General features: G+C 42.6%; 1 protein-coding gene and 1 long non-coding RNA gene across 6 annotated transcripts, besides 1 other annotated feature; one reads left to right on the top strand and one right to left on the bottom strand.

The window, feature by feature from the left end:
- The first annotated feature begins 318 nt into the window (after positions 1–318).
- SMIM21 (small integral membrane protein 21) lies at positions 319–18546 on the top strand. Of its 2 annotated transcripts, none has more exons than NM_001037331.3 (3): positions 319–587; positions 9106–9236; positions 17113–18546. In NM_001037331.3, the coding sequence occupies exons 1-3, from the start codon at positions 459–461 to the stop codon at positions 17156–17158; spliced, it is 306 nt and encodes a 101-aa protein (NP_001032408.1). In that variant the 5' UTR covers positions 319–458; the 3' UTR covers positions 17159–18546. The 2 variants fall into 2 exon arrangements, with proteins under 2 accessions (NP_001032408.1, NP_001290411.1); NM_001303482.2 differs by lacking the exon at positions 17113–18546 and adding an exon at positions 9830–12005.
- LOC105372200 (uncharacterized) lies at positions 1361–22576 on the bottom strand. Of its 4 annotated transcripts, none has more exons than XR_007066471.1 (5): positions 20930–22576; positions 19949–20117; positions 15448–15541; positions 9929–10015; positions 1704–3205 (listed from the first exon to the last, which is right to left on the bottom strand). It is a non-coding gene; the product is annotated as an uncharacterized LOC105372200 (long non-coding RNA). The 4 variants fall into 4 exon arrangements; XR_935635.4 differs by lacking the exon at positions 1704–3205 and adding an exon at positions 8982–9206; XR_935636.3 differs by lacking the exon at positions 15448–15541 and having other exon boundaries at positions 1361–3205.
- Positions 18363–19562: an enhancer, noted in NCBI's record as "P300/CBP strongly-dependent group 1 enhancer chr18:73120415-73121614 (GRCh37/hg19 assembly coordinates)". NCBI's record gives its function as "activates an origin of replication core promoter dependent on BRD2, BRD4, P300/CBP, MED14 and CDK7 cofactors, with strong dependence on P300/CBP, by STARR-seq in HCT116 cells {active_cell/tissue: HCT116}" and the evidence as "EXISTENCE:reporter gene assay evidence [ECO:0000049][PMID:35650434]".
- Positions 22577–24101: the final 1525 nt, after the last annotated feature.

Below are 24101 nucleotides of genomic sequence, written 5' to 3'. Positions count from 1 at the left end.
GAAAATGAATTTCTACATTTTGCTTAGGGCCCAAAAAGAATCCCAGATTTTATTTCCATTGAAGTGCATATAGTAGTATTTATTTTGATTCAGGGAGATGCGGTTCATTTTTAATATTCACAAAAGCTTCTTGACATCAGATCCAAAGCTTGTGCTGTGGAGATATGGTTGAACATTCTCACACAGCATCACTGAGCCAGAGAGCAACCTGAGAAACCTCAGAACTCCATGTGCGGGAAGATTCCATCCGACTTCATAAAATAATACCTGGACCTGAGAACTCTACATGTGGGAAGATTCCATCCAGCTTCATAAAATAATACCCAGATCTTCAAGGTTGGCAAAGAAGAGAAAAGCTCCTTGGGAACTTAGTTACCAGGTCTTATAGCACCAGCTCTGTGTCCTCAGAGTCGCTGTCATCAAGGAGACCTCTCACTGGTCACCGCCGCAGCCCCCACATGGACCAGTATGTGTCCACAGCTCCTCCCCGATTCCCTATAGCACAGCTGGGAACATTTAAACAAGACTCTGCAGGAATGGGACGGATATTCAAGGGGAATTTGCTGCAGAAGAAAGCACTTACCACAGTGAGTTTATGGGTCTTTAACTTTGGGTTATGAGAGAGACGTATCACTGCACAGGTATGGTCCTACAAAGCACTCTTTTGCCCCAATCTCCTGTGAGTGCTCTGTCTCTCAAATCCAGATTCTACGAAGTTTAAGATGAGACGTCAATCCAGAGCTCTTTCTTTCTCAGTTCTGGCCAAGACAACCTCCCAATTCCAATTCCCAATCTGAGGAAGAGCTGCCCCTTTCAGAAAAGGTACTGGGCCCTCCCCTTGACATTACATCAGTATACAGGCCAATGAGTCAATGATCTCTCCCCTACAGAGAGAGCCTCTTAACACAGATGCAAGGATACCTCCAAATGCTTTAAGCCTAGGTGCACCTGCAACACCTACAAACTCAACCTACCCAGACAAATTTGATACTGCACTCCTAGAAGAAAGTTTCTTTTCCTTCATTACAGGACAGAAGCAAAAGTTGCAACAAATTTAACCATTCATGAACCAGTAGCCAATGTGCAGGCAACAGATGGCATTTATAGACACCCCATTTGCAGAGGTGATGGGGTGATCAATAGCTTCTGAAAAGGAAGTTTATGACCCAGTCATATATCGGAAAGGTTAAAGTCCTAAGACAAAATTTCTGGAATGTCTTCTCCTGTAGCACAGGGTTCCTCTTAGTGTTTCTGACTGTGAAGAGGAGATGGATGGGAGCAGGCAGGTAGCATCTCCTTCCTCTGTCTTGATCCCCACTGCTGCTTCTTTATTTCCTTTTCCTTTTTCCATTTTTTTTTTTTTTTTTTTTTTTTTTTTTTTTTTTTTTTTACATTTTAAAAGTAATGGTCTAGGGCCGGGTGCAGTGGCTCATGCCTGTAATCTCAGCACTTTGGGAGGCCGAGGCGAGGAGATCACAAGGTCAGGAGATTGATACTATCCTGGCTAACACAGTGAAACCCCATCTCTACTAGAAATACAAAAAATTAGCCAGTCGTGGTGGCGGGCACTTGTAGTCCCAGCTACTTGGGAGGCTGAGGCAGGAGAATGGTGTGAACCCGGGAGGCAGAGCTTGCAGTGAGCCGAGATTGTGCCACTGCACTCCAGGCTGGGTGACAGAGCGAGACTCTGTCCCTCAAAAAACAAACAAACAAACAAACAAACAAACAAATAAATAAATAAAAGTAATGGTCTTAAAGTTCTTCAGTCTTAAACAAATTATAGAAGGCTTTAAAAGCTGGTTTTGTGCATTTCATATGTGATAGTTGTAAGTCGATTTGAAGTCCTTCTAATACTTTATAAATTTCATCAATCAACATCCAGGTAGGTAGAATCTTAGGTACATGATGATGGTTATGAATTAATACTAGGCCGGTGTGTGCTGGGTTTGTCTCCAGGCCTTGCGTGAGGGCTGTGATGGGGTGCATGACTCAGGAGGCACTCGGTGGGCAATCAAAAGAGGCAATGGTAACACAGCACCTCAAACATTTCAGGGCAGCTGGTCTGCACCAGGTACACAGTAGGCATGAGGAGTGCAAAGATGGGAGAGGCAGGGGCCCCCACCTCAGGGAGCACACAGATACAGAGACTGTCCCTGTCCCCTCCATCTTCAACTCTTGATTTCTTCCATCTTTCTTAGGTTGGAGGTTAACTTGCTGCTGAAGAGATTTCAGCAGGATGGGAACTTACATATAATCTGAATAATCAAATGTAAAAGAGTTCATCTTCTGGGTCCCACTTCTGCTATTTTCATCCACTGCTTCCTACCCATGTGCTAAGCATTTTCATGCAGCCTCGTCTGTCTTTTCAATAAGAAAGCCAGTTGATAACTGATTCACACTTAGGTGGGCTGTTAAACCACAAAATGTTGACAAGGAAAACAACACTTAATAATAAATCATATGATGGTAACGTTTCTGTAGCCAGTAGGAAAATGGTTTCAGGTGTGAACAATTCTCACTACTTCATGGATCATACGACATAGATACTGTTCATTAATGACTCTAAAGCCAATACAGGGCATGAAACTATAAGGAATTCCTTCCTGCTATTGTCCAGGCAGTGGAATGGGACTTTTTTTTTCTTTTGGCCAGTGTTCACTGGTTCCACTATGTTTCTGATCAGATCTTCACATTTAATTTCTTCTTAGGTATTCATGCATCTAGGAGTTCTTATGTACTGGAAACTCAGTATCTCCTGTTTGCAGGCAGTGACTGGGTGTTCATTAAATCCAGATATCTCTGGATGGAGGCTGTGGATAAGCTTGGTGTCCAGTGGAATCTCTCTCATGCACAGACGACGAAAATCCAAAAGCTCACATTGGTTCCAGTACAACAGACAGCCTGTTCCACTGGAGTTGTGTCAGCTGAGGTGTGCACATTTGTATCATCTGTCACAACTATTTACCCCTCTCTTTTCTCAGTAACAGCAGATACACTCGCCCATCGCCATGAGACTTGAGGGAGCTGATCCACTACCAGGCTTGGCCTGTGGCTTGCTTTGCCCACAACAGCGTGAGGAGTGTGATGTGCAGCACATCTGAGCAGAAGCTTTAAAAGCAATTGTGTGCTTTGGTTCTTCCCCTTGTACTTCTCATCTTCCATGAAAAGGGCCTGTTCTCCCAGATCTCTGCTCCTTAGCCTGAGTCTGGGAATGAGAAGACACACAGTGTCACATTAGTGAGACATTTTAAATAAGAAAGAAGTGTTCATTGTTACAAACTGCTGAGATTGGGGAGGCAGGGGTGTTGTCACTATGAGACATCTACTACAATGTGATATGGGCTCTAGGACAAGGGACATGCACTTCATCCCTTGTCACAATGATTTTAAAAATCCATTACTATGCACAGGACTTGGAGTGATACAGGCATCAGGCAGACAGGATAGCAAGTGCACTGGGATGCTTCCAAAGTTTTCAGGGATTTCAACAGTCCTATCAATTGAAGGAAGAGTGATCCTCCACCCCATGCAAGGACATTATTAGTGTGAAACTCCCAAGTGCTGTATCCTAAACATACCCCCTTAATAATGGAAAGAAATCCTCCCTCCTCTGAGTTAATTACATAAACTATATATTATTCATCAGATTTCTATATAATATTGCTTCTACTTGTATGTGCAATCATAAAATGATTCATAAAGTTTCAGGTCAAGGAAGGAAAAGTAAATATTCCATTTTTCGTCCTGACGTGGACACCCGTAATAAAATGTAGTCACTAAATAAGAATCTTGTTGATTGTATTTGCTACTTATTTTTAAGTGTCAGTGGATCAATACTGTAACATGGCTTATCTTGGTTGAGCAGAAATGATATCTGTACATTCAGAGAAGTCATAACTGAATAGCTAGAAGTGTCAGATTACAACTATGGGTGGTCTTCTTCTTTGTATTGTTGAATGAAGAAGAGACAAAATGGTCAAACATTCTTGAAGCAATGCATTGCAACGAACAGTTCAATCTGAGTGGTAGATTTGAAAACTAAAGGATAAAACAGTTATAGACAACAACTAACAAACTGACTGTGTTCTGCCTCCATTCCAAAAACGTGTCACTAAAATGACCGTGTCTTTGCTCATTAAGGCCATTAGTAAAAAAAAAATTTGGACTTTTATGTCTCTTGTACACTTGAAATTTACAGGTGATGGGTAAATTTCACTTATCACAGTAGAAATACTCCAGCCAATCAAAACAGAGGTGGACACAGCACAAGTAATTTATTAATTCACTGCTCTTTCCTGAAATGGGCTTGAGTCAGTGCTATTGGCTCCATATTTTCTGATTGTGAAGTTTAAAGAAAAGGGCACGGGAACCATGAGACATCCCTGAGGCCAGAGCCCCATCCCATCACCTTCTCGCTGTTTTCCCATAAGCAAAGTGACTTCTCCAAATCTCTTTGTGCTACATGGGACATCCCGCTGGCCTCACGGCCTGGCTGGAAAGATGAGGGGTGTGGTGTGATCACACCTGGCACAGCTCTCACCCCAGGAAGGGTCACTGGGGCTGCCTTCCTCTTCAGGTCCCTTTAAATTAAATGTTTCTGTTCTATAGAAACACATTTATCTCCTAACTCTGTTTCCAAGGTTTTTCTCCTTCCATATAAATCAGTAAAGCCTCTTTTTACTCTTAAAGTTAAAAGGACAACCTCTCTAACTGATTTCTCTAGGACACTAAGAGAGCCACACAAAATGCTCTGAGATTGCAGAGGTGCAAGGAGCAGCTGTTTTGGGAAACACTTCAACCTTGAACCCTCACCAGACATAATGACATATGTGTAAAACCTCTGGGAAGTCCTGTAGGAAAAAAGATTGATGAATTTGGGGCAGGGGATTTGCAAGAAAAGTGTAGAATTATTTTTAATACAGAATTTTAATTTTCATAACTGATCTGATCTCACAGTGAAACTTATTGAGCTCAATTAGTGAGAACTCAAGTCTTTTACTGAATTCTCAAGTCCTATTATGATAAATTAAGGACAAAGTGTTTCTAAATAACATGTAGAGATATAATTTACTTACTATAAAATGTAGCCTTAAGTGTCCAATTCAGTGGTTTTTAATATACTCACAGAATTGTGAAACTTTTACCATAACTAATTTTAGAATATTTTTATAACCCCATAAAGAAATCTCATGACCATCAGCAGTCACTCCTTCCTCCCCATTCTTAGAGACCCTGACAACCACATCCTGTTTCTATGGCTTTACCTATTCTGGACATTTCAGATAAATTGAATCATCCAACATGTGGTCTTTTGTGACTGGCTCTCACTAAGTATAATGTTTTCCAGTTCATCTTTGTTGCAGCATGTGTCTACCTTCACTCCTTTTTGTGGCTGACTAATATTCCACTCTACGGATTTATCAAATTTAGTATATCCATTCATCACTTGATGAACATTTGGATCATTTCCACATTTTGACTATTATGAGTCATGCTGCTCTGAACACTTGCATACAAGTTTTTGTGTGGACATATGTTTTTACTTCTCTTGGGTATATCTCTATGACCAGAACTGCTATGTTGTATGATAACCCTATTTAATATTTTGAAGAACAGTCAGTCTGTTTTTTAAAGTGTGCCAGCTCAGTTTCTTTTGATTAAAAAAAAAAACTGGGGGTTAAATGTTCAGTTGATGCAAAGCCCTGCGAAAGACGTTCAGTGACTCAGATGACACAATCTTTGAGGTGCCCATTGAGTCAAATTCCTATATCCCTGCTTCCCCATATCCCTCTCCATGGTGCGCCCCTGTCTCAGGAATAAGGGGTCGCAGCCTCCCACAGCATCCTGTGAATGCCCACTGGCCTCTCTTACACAGTTTTTATGCTGAATTCTGGGCCAGTGGCCCTGCTGGGTGGGCGGCTTTGGCTGGACTACTGGGGGTCAAGCCGGTTCCCCAAGGAGTCCGAACTCTGGCTGTCCACTTGTGAAGGCTATGTTGTCTCTTTGTCTCAACCCCAATCACGTCATATTGGTTCTCAAAGTGTAGTCCGGGAGTCCCTGAGGTGTTTTCAGGGATCCAAAAGCTCAAAATTACTTGCATGATAATACTAAGACATTAGTATTATGTGCAATGGGGTTTTCCAGAGCCTGAATGAGGTTAGGTATTTCGAAAGACTCAGTGCAGAAGCAGATAAGAAAACCCAGTTGCCTTCTATTAAGCTGGGCATTACAGAGGTTTGTAAAAATGTGAAACAGTTCCACTCCTCTCACAATTTTACTTTCTTCTGGACATGGAGCTGAGCTGAACAAAGGCTTCTCCTACAGGCCTGCAGCCTTCCCCAAGCTACACATGGAAGTTGGGCATCTAGTCCCAAAGTTCTTGGGTATCTTACACTATTTTGATATTCCTGTCATGTTCCCCACCCTGACCCCACAGAGCTCCACGTGAGAGAAACACTAGGATGAGATCTTCCATTTTTTCTGACCCTCCCTGACCACAGAGACCTTGCACACACCACCTCCTCAGCTCCCTCCACTCCCGACTTGTGGCCACAGCAGAGGTCCTGCCAGCCAGACCCATATCTCACGGTGGGAGCCACAGGAGAGCCTGCAGCTCAGAATCATAGAGGGGAATGGATTTTGTTTCACTGCCCCCAAAATACTGTCCCTGTGCACTTTGTTTTATCAAGTGTTTCCCAAATTAATAAAACCTCCTTTCTTAAAAATAACCTGTTAATATCTTGGGGTTCAACGTTTACACAGAATGCTGTAGGAAGCATTGCCATTAGGAATTATACTTGTTCTTTAGTGACTACAGACTTTAGATATTTCTGGAAGTTCCTCATGGGACCTAAAGCTGGTTTTTGTTTTGTATTTGTTTTACTTAAGTTAGTCACATTTACAGGAAAACTGCTTCGCGATCAACCCAAATAGAACAAAATAATGTCCAAATTCAGACTCTAGAGAAGTCCAGGTGCCTCCATGCACTTCACACGTTATGAAATCCTAATTAGGAGAAGAATATTGTTCATGCTCTTAGGATTCCCGTTAAGAATGGCTCATTGGCTTCTAGTTTTCCTGTGGAAGTACTACTCTCTCACTACTGGCAGTGGTGGCATTTGTGGAATATCACAAATACCTGTGGATCCCCAGGTCAGTGGATCTCCAGACAGGGCCCGAGGATCCTAAAACTGGAGGATCCTGGAAAAAGGGCCCAGGAAAGCTCCCAATATTTCTTTCTGCTCCATCATCTCCAACTTGGTTTTATTGTGTTAATGCCCAGATAACATACCCAAGCAACTCCTTGGCTTCAAACGTAGGACAAGCATAGCAGTAAAGGAAGAATTGAGACCCAATGCTCCAGTGACTTTCTTTAATCACTTACTCCTCAGCCCAGTGAGGAAGCACCCAGGTTTCCACTCAAGCAAATGCCTCCTGATGGCCCTTTTGCAACATTAAAACATCATTTAATCAAGCAGTACAGATCTAAGTATATTTTATTCAAACCTAATTATTTAAAAATCCTTACTGTCTCCAAATGATGCACAGAGTAGCTCTCTAATGATTGTTGCATGTTGAAGACCACTTTAAATTTAAAAAAAGAGAGACAGAGACCCTGATTTTGTAGTGAAGATGCAACGACATATATTTCAACAATAATTAAATCCACCAATTCCACCTCTTTATAACTGGAATAGAGACTTTAGCAGCATTAAGAAGTCCCACCTTTCTCCTTTTCCTTCTTGAATTCTTCAAGGCTAGAGGCCTATTAGCTGGTAAACTATTAAAATTCAAACATGATACAACCCAAGTAGCTCCAGCTTTGAAACAGAAGGGTGGCTAAGTACCTGCTCTCTCTCACTGCAATACTCCAGCAGCAAGGCGAGTCCAGTTTCTCCCATCATCAGTGGATCCCTGACCCTAAGCTTAACTACTTTCAGCTTATGGGAAGCTCCATCCTACATTCTTCAATGGTGCCTAGCCCTATTTTACCAGTAGATGGATGCTGGGATTGGGGGAAGGGAGCTGGGAGAACCAACCTAATTAAAACAACTTTTGCTTCATCTAGTTAACAGCAGGTAATACTGAGTTCTCTCCTTCCCACGGTGGCTCATGCCCCCTCATAACACGAAAGAGGCATTGTCCTTCCCTGTGCACACAATCTGCAACCAGAGAGAGCCACCAGCCACAGAAAGGATAAGGCCCCATATTAACAATTTTCTCATTTGTTAGCTTAAGGAAATCATTTTCTTCCATTTTTCCACTTCTTGAAAGTATATCTACAAGTTTTTAGCCAAGAATTTTTGGATATAGTTGGTTTTGGGATCACATATTTAATTTGCTATGTGTTTATTGTTTTTCTTTCTGAGAAAGAAGAAGAATGCTAAATAAAACTTAACTTCAGGGCTCCTGTTATTCCAATGGCCACCACCTTGACTAGATTTATTTTCATTGATGTTAATTTTCATTGATTTTGTTTATGGTCTTTCAGCCAATTATCAGTCAAGATGCTTTCTTAAAAGACTGTGAAATTCAGAATAAAAGGCACAAAACTTATTGCTATGAATTGTAACCTCTGCTAAACCAATGATATATGGCATGATTTGAGAAAAATTTTGTTGGCACATTGTCAATTGTATTTTTGACCACTAAAAAAAAAATCAGTCAGTGATGTATATGCTCAAATCACACTGGAACACTAAAGTCATACTGGTCACAGATCTGTTTGATAACTCACTGGGCTTTTACTTATTGTATTTAAAAGCCGTGAGAAACCTGAGAAATGATCCAGTCTGGCACCCTCAACTTAATAGGGAACTCGGTTTCATAGAACTCTCTGTGAATCTGCTTTTAATTTACACTGATACTTAAAATTCTACACGGCAGATCTCAAGAGTTGTTTTACATGCATTATCTTTTCCCCAACTAATTTTATAACTCAATAAAAACCACAGTTCTGGTTTTACTTCTGAAACACGACCTTAAATATATAAACTTATTTATTTTAAACAAAATTAATTGTTTGACAAAGAGTTAGCTGCTTGTAGCATGAAGCTTGAAAAGCCAGACACTGTAAATAGTAACTGTAATTATTTCCTTTTTCAGTTTGAAAATGAACACCATATTCGTTTCTTCACATTGTTGGTTCTTTTCCATGTGATGGTGTTGCTGAGGAATCATAGCAGGATACAAGGGGTTTCTGAAGACTGGAAAAGGGCCAACAGCATATTTCGAAAGTAGGTAAACGATAACCTTAGCAGTTAAAAAAAAATACTACATATTTTGAAAGTGAGTAAACGATAACCTTAGCAGTTAAAAAAAAACTAGAACATTCATCAAGCAATCAATCTGTAGCCACCTAGGAGAGTGCACATGCTGGGTAGCTATCAAATTACTTTGTAAAAAGGAAATTAGGCCAGATGAAATTAATATCCATCCGTGATAGAGCACGGGGCCACATAGATAGACAGAGTGAGCCATGTATACTGCAGCGACCTCCTTCTATCTGAGGTCGCTCCTTGAGACAGGATGAGCATTTCGTCAGTGAGAGCCTGCAAATCTCTAATCGCCTCTGAGAGCCAGTGACATGGGACCTTCTAATAGGTAAACCATTTCATAATGAATCCCTCCTGGTCTTTTAGTAAATAACTCTCTTGGGAAGAAGGCCAAGAAATCTCAGCCCTTCTTTGAGTTTATTTCTAGAGTGATTCCAGTTGTGCTTAGTTAAGGTCTCTGTGTACCAACAGATAAGTGTACAATTGGCTGGAAACGTTTTCAGAGGCTTATATTTAAACTGGAAGGCATATTAATTTTATTTTTCCTTCAACAGGTAAAAAACTCCTTCTTTCTCCCACTGTAGGCTTTTTGTGTTTTCAACATACCCAGCCTCACTCGGAAAAATAAAAATAAAAATAAAGCACCCACTCACATGAGCAGCCAAGTTTCAGATACCAGTGGGCACAAGCTCTTCCAAATGTCTCCTGTTCTGGAGATGTTCACAGTCCTCACATCAAAACTGAAACAAGCAAACAAAAAAATAAAAAGCTTACTACCAAATACCCTAGGAATAAGACTTAAACTCTATTTGGAAATTGAATTTCTTCCATAGTCAATCAATATTTAATAAAGAGAGAAAAGGAGCTCATTACAAAGACCATCTTGTTTCTCCACAAGTCATCTATGTGAGATTCCAGAATTTCAGGGCGATAAGTTCTTAATTGGAACATTATATATTCTCTTTGCAGCCAGTAAGTACGCATCACTTCACGAGAAAGCACTGCGGCCAACATTTCTCCTGGTCTGCTCTGGGTTTCAGTGAAGGGCAGGCCTGGAAGCACCTTGGGAAATGAGGTAGAGCCAAGCTAACCCTAGAGAGCCGTTGAGCTTACGGAGGGTTGAGTGATTACGCAGGCATAGTCTTGAGTTTTATTTTCAGTTTGAATACTGCTAACTAGTCTGTACAGTCACAGGCTTACTATAGGGAGTTTATTCTACATCAGCTATATTCTCTCTTCCTTAGCAGCACTTAATGAGTTGGCTGGAAAGTTGTTCCCAGCCAAGCCAATATCCCATGAGTTATAAATGACATTTCATGCTCATATGCAGATTTTCTGCACCGAAGTGAATTATTTACAAGGTAGGCCTTATGGATTCCAACAGTCAGCTGCCTGAGATTTACACCTACCCGTTCTCTCTACTCTCTTGCTGGGAGAATGTGACGTCTCCCACTGCCCTTTAACATCTGAAGATTTAGCGGGAGCTGCCCTTCCTGAGGCAGGTGCTCCCTTGCTTGAGATGGCAACTGGAAAGGCCATGCACCCTGGAAGCTGGAAGGTAAACTGAGGCTCTCCCAGAGGTGCTTCTCCTGCCCGGGGAGGATGCTGTCCGCATGCAAATGCACACGAGGAGCACCAGGAAGAATTTAAGTTCTGGGGAGGCCTTCCTGCCCATTAACAGGGATTTTATTACCTTGGGTTTTAGCTACTTAGTTTAATAATTTCTTCCTGAATGTGCGAAAATCCAAATTTTCTCCTAAAGGAAGCTCTGTGTTCAGCAGTGTGCTCTGTCCTCTGTGGAACAGAAGAACCAACATGTCGTTTCTACCTCCCAGGAACTCCAGGGGTTGAAAAGCCTCCCAACTTACAGCAAGGATGATGAAAATATAAGTAAGAGTTCGGCACCAGACAAATCCACCAATGGAACAAAAAAAGCAGCACAGACACCAGACACCAAGTTAAGTACACAAGGGTCTCTAATCTATGATAAAATCAGCATTTAAAATTAGCAAAAAGTATGGTTTTTTAAATATGTTGAATGAGAACAACTGACTATGCATTTGGAAAAAGTAAGATGAAGATCCCTACCTTATATTATCAACAAAAATACATGTATGTTGAATCAAAGACCTAAATGTAAAAATAAAATCCAAAGAATACTGGAAGAAAAGATGGAGGAACATTTCTGTAGCCTTGCAGTGAGAGTAAACAAAAGGAAAGAAGGGACTTACCAAATTTTATAAACTTTTTCCCAATAAAAACCAGACTAAACAAAATTAAAACGTAAGTGACAAACAAGGGAGGGAAAACATTTACAACTGACTATTAATATCCCATATTCAGAGAAATCCAACTCATTGGAAGAAAATGACAGACAATACCCTAAAGGGATAAAGAATACTTATAGGCAAAAAAGAAGTACACACGGCAAATAAATCTGTGAAAAGATGCTCAACCACGGTATTGATTAAAGGAATAAGGAAGTGAATAACAACAAAATAGTTTTTGCCAAATCTGATTGTCAACATGTCATATATTGTTAACATTGATTGCTGTCGAGGCTGTGAAAAACTAGGCAGCTTCATAATTGTTGGCAGGAACAACCAACTGCTACAAACATTTTGGGGGCAATTTGGAATTATCTAATAAAATATATTTGCATACCCTTTGGCCATGCCATTTCACTTTTACGGATCTAACAAAAAATAAAATAAAAACATTATAAAGGTATATGTACAGGGATTTTGACTGAGTACTGTAACAGTAAACATTGCCTGCAGCGTAATATCTGCCAGTAAGAGATGCTTTCATGAATTATGATAAGTTCATAAAATGGAATGCCATCCTCTCATTAAAATCTGTAAACAACCAAATTTCCATCAATAGGGGAATGGTTAAATAAATTGTAATGCCACCATTAAGCTGAATATTATGTAGCTACTAAAGTGAATGAGACAGAGCTGTACATAGATGAAAAGATGTCTTTGCTACCTCAAGTGAATAAAGTTGTAGACAAATGATAGATACTATAGATGAATAAGCAGATGATTGATGGATGATTAGATACATCCTATATAACTTTAGTTGAGTCTGTGTGTGTCCATGGAAGAAAAGGACCCTCAGAGTTGTTAGTGGTGGTGATCTCTGAGTAAGGACGTTTGTTTTGTGTGCAGCTAAGAGCTTCACTATCATCTCACATGCTAGTTCCGCCTGGTGATGGGAGCACACTCCCAGGCAAGTCAGAATGCTCATCTTCCCCAGGACCGCAGATGTTGTCACACGTCGGGGTCATCCATTCTGACATCAGCAGAGACTCCCAGCAGCAGAGACCTCTCCCTCTGGCTGGGGAGCCAGTCGCTGGAGCAGGGACCCTTCAGCCCCACTCCTGCTCTGCAAGCTCTCACCCATCTCCATACAGAGAACACAGAGAATTGTTCTGCCACTGCTGATCACCGCTTGGCTATGGGAAGCTCTGGGCAGCTGTTAAGTCCCCTCTGCCTTGAGATCCCTATATCCACTGTCACTGTGGGCGCTTGGTGCTTCCATGGAGACTTACCTGGGAAAGTATGCCCAGATTCTCCAATCCTTTCTGGTGTTTTTGTTAGCTCTGTATGAGGTGTTCATGGTGCAGCAGAAGGATGACAGAGCTCAGTGTCTCTTCCATTAGGGACCCACTAACAGAAGAGGGAGTATTTGTGCACTCCTCTTTCCCTATCTGAAAGTCCCAGGGAATCTTGATCTTGTCAGGATTGGGTGCATGACTGTTAATTGTCAGCCATTCTTACAAACACATTTTATAAACTGAATATTTTGTGTTCTCTGAATTCTATGCTCTCAGAATTCAAAAACCAAGATGAACTTTCCCCCTCTTTTTTGCTGGTGTCACTCATCCCTGAGCGGGGTACGCAAAATACCAAAGCCAATTATGTGGTACGTTCAAAGGGTCCAAAACCACCCAGGGTGAAGCATCAGACCACCAGGTTTGTGTTTGCCAAATGCCCACTCTCCCGGATCCTCTTATTCTCTCTTCAAAAACAGACACAAAACAACAATAAGAAACATCCTCCATTCTTAGTGACAGCTGAGGGTTTGGATGATGCGGATGAGCTGGAGGAGATTTTCCATTCCTACCACAGCGAAGGCAACTGAATACATTCTCCTTAGCCACTGTAGTTCTCCAGAAAGCCCCTGGGCCCCAGAGGTAATGCAGGGCTCTCTTCTCCTTGACCCATCTTTCCCTTCCCCCAGTGCTCCTCCCTCTTCCTTCCTCCTCTGATATGTGGAGTGGGTTCCTCTTAAGTAGGAAGCCGGCAGGCATGTCGAGGCATCTTTTCAGCAGTCAATGGAGCAGGAGTTATTTTTTATTCTTTAGTGCAATTCCAGTCCCTAGCACAGTACTTGGCATGTAGTAAGTGCACAATAAATAGAGGAGTAACTTTGCATTTACATGAAAACACTTTTTGCAACCAAGCCACATTCTTTACATTTCCTTGGGGACAAAAAAAATTTATTTTTATCCTTTGATAATAAATTTTATGTCTACAATCAATAGTAACTTGGAACTCATCTTGGGAAACAACATGGATAGCCATGCTAGATAATGACTGTGTGTGTGTGTGTGTGTATGTGTGTGTGTGTGTGTGTGTGTATGTGTGTGTGTGTGTGTGTGTGAGACAGAGAGAGAGAGACTCCTAGGCATCATCATCCTAAGCAAGTACAAATCAGGAGTTTGTTTCTTTGCAAAATAAATAGTTGTTCTTTGTTTCTTTTGTTTTTGCTATTGTTTTCTAAGATAAATACTATGAAGGGCACAGCACTCATTTGAATGCCTATATGTCATTTATTTGATTAATTTATTAAACATATTTGAGGTGTCTACAATTTATTCATCCCTGTTCTAAGCAATGCAGATCACGTGTTGAAGTAGACAAGGTGTTTGCACTCATGAGACTTACAAGAAGGAAGACATCCTAAGTCAAGCAAGGATGGCCCTTATACAGAGATTCTGAGACAAGAGGGACCAGTCATATTCTAGAGACTGGGTCATAGAACCTGTTCGGTCTGGCTGGAATGAAAATTGCAAGGTGGGGGAAGTGGAGAAGAGAGGCAGGGGATGCTGAGAAATTGATTTGGAGGGAAGCAGATCATACCAGACCACGAATGGCCTTATGTGTCCTGTTTTATACTAATATCCTAAGAGCAATGGGAATCATTAAAGGGTTTAAGTACAGACATTGGATCTCTGCTCTGGAAAGAAGAGTTCAGCAGCAAAATGGGAGGTTACCGAAGGAGGCAAGATTAGAGGCAGGATGATAGTTACGTGTCTTCTCCAGATACAAGCCAGAGACCACTGGTTCAGGTAGGTAATTTCACAGGGGGTGATCAGGAGAAAATAAAAGCAGACAAAATCAAAGACATTTAGAATTCACAATAGTAAAGCCTGGAGATGGACTGGGTTTAGTGCGGAGACAGAAAGCTTGGCAGCTGAACATCTGGCATGGGCTAGGGCTCTGGAGGCTCAAATGGGGAGTAAAGAAAGAATCTCTGGGAGAGGGACTGTTGGATTCCACCTTAGACTTTCTTCAGGAAGCATCCTTAGGATGCCCAAGGAACACTCAGGTAGGGGGGCCCAGGAGCATCAGCGTGGAGGCCTGGAGCCTGGACCTCAGCGACTGCCAGCATGTTTTTGAGTGTCTCATAATCAGAACACAGGAAGTCCAAGAAGAGGAGACGATGCATTTGTACCAAAAGTTCATAGACAAGAGGCTATATATAGACCCAAAGGTGAGACTGCATTGGATTCAAATAAGAGTTCGGATTTGAATGAAAATACAGGCAAGGGGAAATTCAAGGTACAACGAACAGCAATGAGACTGGGGGAGGAGGAAGGAGAAAGAAAAACGGATACTGATCACAGAAATCCAGCAAGTGTGTTCGATCAAGTATTTTACTAGGAGTGGGGGTTCTGTAAACCTATAGGGAGTCTTCCTGAGACTCAGCACTCAGAGCCTGGCCTCTGGTACCCACATACAATACTCATCACTATCGTCAGGAGACTAGCTTTACTGTGACTCAAGGCACAGGGAGGCCAAGACATTTGGTCAATGTTTCATGTCAGAGCAACATGGGAGCCTATGTGCCCAGGGCCCCGTGATGCTTCCAAACCTCATACCTCCTCAGATGATGGTCACCTCACTAAGACTGTTGCCCGATTCTCAGCAGCATCCAATGTCAGAATAGCACTCTTTCCACAAACCAGGAAGATTCTGCCAGAAAAAGCAGCAGGCAGCAAAATATTCTTAGTACTTGGTGGAGGGATTCCCTTTCTTTCAAAACCTAATTAAGGACTGGCAAATAGAAATCTTGCTCAACTCAGGTTTTATATAGCAATTGATTGTTTTATTTAAGCGTCTGCTTTAAATTCACCGTATTTTCTTCGTTCCTTTCTTTCCTTCTTTCTTTATTTTTAACAAAGTTGCCCACACTCAACTATTGTGAAAACTCAGAATACAGAGATTGAGAATCTAAACCTTGTTTGTTTTCACATGTACTTGCCCTCTCTTGGAGAATTTGGGCTTCATCTGTTGAAGGCCAGAGGTCAGAACAGTGTTGATCCTGGAAGCTCAGGAAGCCTTGGGGGACATTTGGAAGTTTAGATATTCTGGGGTCCATGTTCTATGCCAAGAACTAGTCCCTCAGTGTGTAGCAGCAGAACAAGTGTAATGATTTGATTTCTTATAGCCACTGTCACCTTCATCTATATATTTGCTGGTGATTTATTAATATCTGTTCTACCTGTCTCGGCCTGCAGGAGACCTTGTATTGCTGCATGCCTTCTATAGAGCAGGGAGAAATGAAGGGAGCAGATGGGATTATGACTTATTTTCCAACGTTGAATTTATAAAAAGATCTTTTGTCAGACATTGCACAGCAGTTTGTAGGATGAAATTAATCCTATGAATAAAATTGCTAACCTCCACCTAAAATAGGTGCTTTATTTAAAGAAGGATCGATGAGGCTTGCTAAATATTATTTTTAGTGTTGATGAAAGATTTTCATAATATCAGGCTGCAAACATGGGCTAAAGTGGCAGTTCTGGATGCCATGCCAGCGTGCTGGAGCTGGCTAACGATGTCACCCACAATGTCAGTGAGGCAAAGCCACCCCTGAGCTGTCTCCAGGCCTCTGTCCCTCCTCTGCAATCTCAGGGTAGGAGAAATGTTTTTCTCAATGCATGTGAATCTAACTTTGGACACATCTCACAGTCTCATCTTCCAAGGATCATCATTCGTGAGTTAGACAGCAAAACGGTTAGCCGTGTCCACCATGTAACAAAACACATTCTTGAGGCCGTCAGGCCAAACCCCTGAGCTCTTTGTTCTTTGCCCAATGGTCTCATGGCTTCTGGTTTTTAGGGGAACATTATGACTGGTCTACTATTTTGGTGCTGCTTCTTTTTGAAAAGGTTCAGAAAGAGAGTTTATTTCAGAGTTCGCATATACTCGACTTCTATCTATCATCCTTTATACAAGGCTAGTAAGGGCTTTGAGAAGCCAGTGCATCCTACATTACTGTCTTTGTGGCCTTTGGTGTTTCATTCTCAGAGAATTATTCCAGGGTTCCTAGCTATTCTGAACTCAAAATTCCTGTTACCATCAAACAGTACTTGCTCCGGTGAGTATAATCCTCAGCCTCAAAACACTCCAAAATCTTGGGGGGAAAAATTAAATTTTAAAATGTGTTCATTAGATAAAAACAAATGGTCAATTTTATTGTAATATTTTGATTATATCTATCAAAAAAATAAAATGCTTTTTCCCCCTTTTGTCTCTTGCAGCTTTCTACGTTTGAAGTCATCCAGGAACACAGCAGAAGCAGAATAAATGACACTACGTTTCTCTCTCATGGCCTTCATACCATGGATTTCCCCTGCTCAAGATGAAAAGAAATTAAGAGGAAATCAGATTGCTTAGAGATAGCAGATTATTGCTCACTTTTTAAAAGGAGCTCCACAGAGAGAATGAAGAACGTGTAACTTTTTGCAATGATAATGTCTGCTTTGTTCTTGAGGGGCACTCTTCCTTTTTCTGTTCAGGAATATTCCGGAGGAGAGCTGCAGATGCCACCCAACCCTGCGAAATCTGCCCTGCGTGTCGAAACAGATCCAGCAGTGCAAAGAACTTCTTCATTAGGACATCAAGCCTGTAGTCATATTTTCAATTGCTGCTGTAACTTTTTCCTTGCAAGTGCTTTCACTTATTTCGGGACCACCTAAGGCTCTGTGTGGTATACAGCAACACAGTTTGAGATATTTCTGTGATGTTCTGTATATCATATAGTTGCTAACAACCTGTCAAAGTCATCCTGACACCAAACTGAGAAGCTGATGGTTTGGGTAACATATTAGAGGAGATGAAAAAACCGACAGTCCTCATTACTGTAATAAAACCAGCAGAGACACACTGAGAATCAATTACTGATTGTGACCTAATGAACTAACCCTCAGTCAAGTAGAAAACTGCACCAAGCCTCTTACATTATCAAATGATTTAGGATGGAGCACTGTCTGAAGACGGGCAACAAGTCGAGGCAGATGAGTTTTCTTATATTGTGGCTGACTTAATTACCTTGTTCCTGAGTGCAGAGATCAAATTGAGCAACTTAAGGTGCTAAAGCTCTGTGCCAGCTGGAAATGAAAAGGAAATAATTAACACCAACAAGAGCTACGTCTAAGGTTGTGGCACCTCCTGACAGAAGCAAGGAGACTCAAAGTTAAGGCGGCTGCAAAGTCCTTGACGAGGTGAGCCCTGCTCTATCCGCCTGGCTGGATTCGTCCAGGTTGCCTGTGGCAGCTGTGCACTGAAGAGTCCGGCTGGGGAGCCAGGGATTCAGAACTCACAGTGCAGCCTGACGACCAAAGGGCAAATCCACCTGAGGACCTGAGTGCAGATGGCTGGGCTCCCCGGAACAAAGTGGAGGAATGACAGAGGTGTAACTCTTACACCACAGCCTCCATCTGTGTGTCGCAGAGAAAAATACTATAATGGAGACTATTCTTACACACATACACACACACACACACACACAGAGTTCTTGTCACCGATGGAACAGTCTGTCTTTGTCTTTCATCTCCCACATTCATGTCCAGATCCCATTGCGCTGCATCACACGTGAACCCAGTGAGGTCAACAATGAATGGATGGTGTTCACAAAGAAACCAGCTTATGGAAGGGGACCTGTTACAATTCTTTGAATTAAGTTCTTGGAAGCCATTTTTCATCTCATTTGTCACTATAGTGTTCTTCTCTTCACACATGCAGGGGTGGCAAGGCATCAAACCAAAACATGGCAGGCTCCTTCACTGCCAGACTAGGAGATGAATCCTGGGTACACTGAAAAGGAAGCACTCAGAAGCAGTGACAGTGATGACAATCGAGGCCCCAGGTTCACATCCCTCAGTCCTCCCATGAAGGATCTAGTCCCACTCAGAGGACACGCCCAGGCTGCATCTGCACTACCTGTACTTCCCAACAGGCATTTGGAGAGGAGAGACTCAGCTCTGTCAACATAAAGCTCTGTGAAGCCAGCTTGAGTGCTTCCCACAAAGGGTTGAGTGGGATTAATCTCCCCACATCACTGATGAATCAGTCCCATCAGCACTGCATGTGGCATCATCAGACCACAAGGACACACTTCATGAAGGGGTTTCTCAGTATTGAGTCATCACTCGAAGACCTGACACACAAATGAGTCACAGCTGGGAGAGTGTTTGGAGAAATGGGCATTTGAGAAATGGGCTGTGTAGGCCGTATCCCCTCCATAGGAAGTCGGCAAACTAGGGCGAGGCAAGGATGCTCCCACTGCAGCCACACACTACAAATCAGGGGCAGGGATGCTTAACTCTGCCCAACTTTAGATGAGTTTTAAAAAGCAGCACTTCTCAGACCTAGTTAAATGCAGATTCTGATTCATAGGTCTGGGTGAGGCCAGAGATTGTGCAATTCTAACAAATCCGCGACAATGCCGCTGGACTTGCCTGTGTTTGAACTATCCTGGGAGCATCACGGCCTCAAATCTTCTGTTCCTTCCCCCAGGGTCCTTATCCAGTTGGGCAGACATACTAGACATTCTAACTACATCCTATGAGCACAATCATAAGTCCTATGAGCAACTTACCACTCCAAAGGAGGTAGATGGAACTGAGTGCTCTGGTAAATTTCTGGAGCACCAGGCCCCTTGGCCAGCCCAGTCTTCAAGGCCCACTTTTGGGAGCATGGCCTTTAAGGCCCTCACACGAGCAAGCCAATAAGTGGTAAGGAGCAGAGCAGAATTCCCCAGGGGCTGGAGGGTAGGTGTTGATCAGGCCCAGGCAAGCACAGCACAGTCAAAGTAAACCCATCCAGGCCTGTGTACCCTGCCCCGACCATGAGACTCCCTGGAGTTAGTTGAGTCTGACCTGAGAGCAAGGTACAGTCACCGGGAGTAATTTTCAAATTAATGAATTGTGTACAGACCATGAGGCAACTGCTTGTCCAGATGCCTTTCATAGTCCACTGATGGAAGCATTCACTAGGCTCCTTGCAGAACTGAATGCTGCAAAAAAGAATTACACAACATCCAGAAACTTGAAAAAGAGGGAAGGGAGATTTGGTACAGGCATCTCGCTCACTAACCTGAGTCTTTGTTGAATGAGAACACGGTGCCTGGTGCGGCCACTGCTGCCACCAGGGACGCCAGGCCAAGCCATCATTCAGTGCTGCTCTGCAGCGTGCTGCCCTGCCCTCCTGAAAGCTGCGTGATTCATTGGATTTAATATTGTCCTGAGTCTCACTCCAGGGAATTCTGCAGGAATGTTGTTCAAAAAAAAAAAAAAAGAAAGAAAGAAAGAAAAAAAAAACAGCCATTTCAAACAGTCTGTAGGCTCCGTTCTATAAAATAGGTTATTAACTTGCAGTGATGGCAGCCAATAGTTCAATTGCTGTAAGGTCACAGGTTATTCAATGGGAAGGACCACATTTTCGATTGTTTTACCCTGACTCCCCGCTGATATGCAGGCTTTACCAGGATTAGTGTTAAAATCCTCACTGTGAAACGCAAAGCCCAGAAAGAAAGCCGCATCCTGCTCGCCTCCGCCTCTGAACCAATGCGGGACCTGTAAATACTCCTCCCCTTGGCTGCTCTCAAGTCCCTTTACGATGAGGCTGGCTTGTAGCAGCGAAGGGGTCGCGCGGGGACTCTCTCCACCTCCTCCAAAGACTATATAATAGCCCATGCAGACATTTCCTGATGTTTAAAATCTCTCCAATTTTCCTCCTCTGCTCCTGCATTTTTAATCTCTGGAATGCCTATGACTGGACGCATGTGCCTACTCCTCCCCACCCCCATCCACCAACATGAAAAGAAGATTCTGTCTGGATTTGGGTCTGCTCTTTTCTGGATACCTACGGGAAGTTCATCGGGTGCTCTCTTACACTTGCCAAGCTGAATCAGGCCCCCAGAGGGTTTCCCTCCCACATTGCCTTCCCGCATCATGAGGGAGGCTGCTGCTGTCTGAAACATAATAAACGTTTCTTAAAATTCCTTTCCGATCACACCTAAACTCTGACAAGTATTTGCAGCTTCTATCTCCTTTGAATTTAAGGAGGATGACAAACCTGAGCACAGAACAAACAATATCTCCACCTAATGATTGCAAGCCCAACTTCCAGGACTTGACTTCCGAGGCCTTACTGACTTCCGGAACTTGGCTTCCGGAGCCTGACTGACTTCCACAGCCTGACCCGGAAGGCTTTGGTAATTTTGAACCGGAGCTTTTTCAGGAATCTGCGGGCTTGGTGTCTGAGGCCCTCACAGTCAAGCCCCATCCACACACTGGACATCACAGCTCTGCCCCATGGACAGTGCAGATAATGTTTAATTGAAAACAAAAGTGTCATTTTGGAAGGCCTGCCCCACCCCACGCCCCCACCTGACACACGTGGAGGCTTCAGAGTGTGCAGGGCTGAGCCTCACGACCTTCTCCCTCGAATGTTCCCTGAAGCCCCTCGGATCTCTTGACACAGGCGCCTTCTCCATCCCTGCCGCCCGCTGCTCTCACCGAGGGAGGCTGCTGTCGCCACACCCTGAGCTGGGCTTCGCGGTTGAGATTCACAGTAACTCGCCTCAAAGAAGCTACCGGCAGGGAAACATCTCCTCAGGGTATGTCTGCTCCCAAACAGACGCCACTTGGAAAAGATCACGTTTGCTGTTTATCTTCTATTTGCCACAGTAGTACACGAAAATAGAGTATTTGCAAGAAATTAAGAAGAACAACGAAACTGAAACTACCTGATGATCCCACCCTTGAGATAAACACGGGTAACATTTTGTAGGATTGCTTTTCAGTCTTCTCAGTCCCATTTCAAAAACAGCACAACATACAGTGTGAGATCTCTTGAAAGTTGTCAACCATGGGCTTTAGACCGAACTTGGGAATGAATATTCTGCCTTTTCTGTTCACGGCCTGCGTACGTTTCCCACCTCTGCCTTTCCTACCCCTCTGAGTGTTCTTGGAGGAAACCATGGTGTGCCCACGAGGCCATTCTGGGGATATGTTTAAAACTCCTCCTTCACAGAAACAGCCAAAGGGTGAAAGTATAAATCAGCTGCCCAGTGTTCAAAAAAAAAAAATCAACCATGCAGGGTTCAGGCTGGCCTTCCCAGCAGCCGAATGAGCAGAAGGGCTCAATGCTCTGCAGATTTGGGGATGTGCCCTAACACATGAAAGACTTGTCATCTGAAAATCACCGGGGGCCATGGGGGCCTCCACTAAGGTCCTCAGAGGCCTTCCTTCATCCACACACAGCCGGGCAACTCCAAAAGATGCTGTGCCCTGGGCAACATCCGAGCACTTCTTTTTGAAGGCTCAAAACAGGCCGTGTGCCACCCACATAGCACCTGGCCTTCCCCTTCACAGCAGGTAGCTGATGTCGCTGTTGGTCTGTACTTGGAGGTTATTTGATGCTTGTCTGTCTTCCCCCATGAGATTTTAAACTTCACAAGAATAGCGACTTTGCCACTTATGCTCAGAATTTTATTTCTAGTGCCTAAAACCAAGGTTCTCAACAAATATTTGGTGAGTAGATGAAGAAATAACAAGTGGGTGAGTAAAAAGGGTGGAATTTCCAAGGCTAGTATGACCAATAGCTGGCCCAACCAAGATCATTCCCCTCACAAGCTGTCACTCCTCCTTTACCCCCAACCCTCCACCTCTACACCTTACCTACCGTGTGTGACTCTGAATCACCCACCAGGAAGGCAAAACTGAGACAACTAAAGAGAATACAAGGGCACACGCCTTCCTGTTAAGGTCCTGACAGTTTATGACGCTAAAAAAAAAAAAAAAAAAAAAAAAAAAGGTAATACTGGAAGCATCTAGCTATGATCCTGATGATTTGAGAAAAGCCACAAAACTTGGCTAATTGGGATCATCTCCCTTTTATAAGCTCCAAATTTGATGGCCCTTCAAAGACACTTTCTAAATCCTACCTCACACTACCTATCATTCTTAGTAGAAGCTACCCACTTTCCACAAAGTAATACAGACTATCAGATAATGAGTTTCTAGAATTTATCTATGCCCACCCAGTCTATCTTTGCACTTCTGTTAGAGAAAAAGATACTCCTGTACTTCTCCAAATCTGACCAGGCTACTTTTGACTCTTTCAGTCTCTCTCCCCACAACCTTTCCCCACACATGCACATACATAGACACACACATATATCTTTAATCTTTCCGTTTAATTTGTCTTCTTCTCTCCCATCTGTAAACATGCTCAAAACTCTTCTTAAAAATAAAACATAAGTGCCCCAAATCATAAAACGACTTCTCTTCTCCAACTCTCTCTCAGGATAAGGACCATCTTTATCTCTCACTTGTAGAGAGAAAACTGTATGCAAAGAAATGGAAACCCATTTGCCCCTATCACAAATCAATTTCTGCTCACACCACTGCTGAGATAGCTCTCTACTAAATAATCAGTAATTCCCTAGTTGCCAAATCCAAGGATATGCACACTAAACAATCTCTTTATAGCATTTGATATTGCTAACAATCCCTTACTTCTTGAAACATTTTTCCCTTAGCTTCCAGGATATCAGTATCTCCTGACTTTCTTCCAGTTTTTCTGAATATTTCACTTCGATCTCTTGGGGATGGATTCTCCTCCTCCACCCACTCCTCAAATCTTGACGTTTTACCATGAAATAAAGGGGTTCTTCTGGTCTTTTGTTCTGAAGCCACATCCTTTCCCTGTGTTAACACATTAATTCTTTTGGCTTTAATTACTATTTTGAGATGTTAATAACTTTGAAATCTGTGTCTCTGGTTCCGACATCATTTCAAAGTGGCAGAACCTTAGGTCTGGCTGCCTCTGGAGTCCTGCACTGAGTTTGGAGCTAGCGTGAACCAAAACTTGACATTGCTTTTCGGGCACCTGTTCCTCCTCCTCTCTGAGAATGTGTCATCCTGTTTCCAGGCTTTGAATTTCCCTTAATTCCATGGTGCTCTGTCTTTGTGATCAGTTGATCACAAGTCACCTTAATTCTACTTTGGAAATGTCTCACAACCCTCACCTTTTCTCTTTCACCCCTACTACAATTGCCTTAGATGACAATCCATACCATTTCTTCTTTTTATTTCATTTTTCTAACTGCAAACATAATTCATTTTCAACAAAAAAAACAATACATAGAAATTGCAAAGATGAGAGCAAAAATTTCTCATAATCTTCAGAATTAACTAATATTAATATGTAGGTAAATACTAGAAGTTACTGTCAAACAAGC

The sequence above is a fragment of the Homo sapiens genome, chromosome 18 (assembly GCF_000001405.40).
Source record: "Homo sapiens chromosome 18, GRCh38.p14 Primary Assembly".
Classification (NCBI taxonomy): Eukaryota; Metazoa; Chordata; class Mammalia; order Primates; family Hominidae; genus Homo; species Homo sapiens.
Note: the sequence above shows the minus strand (reverse complement) of the source record. Positions and strands in the feature narration are given on the sequence as shown.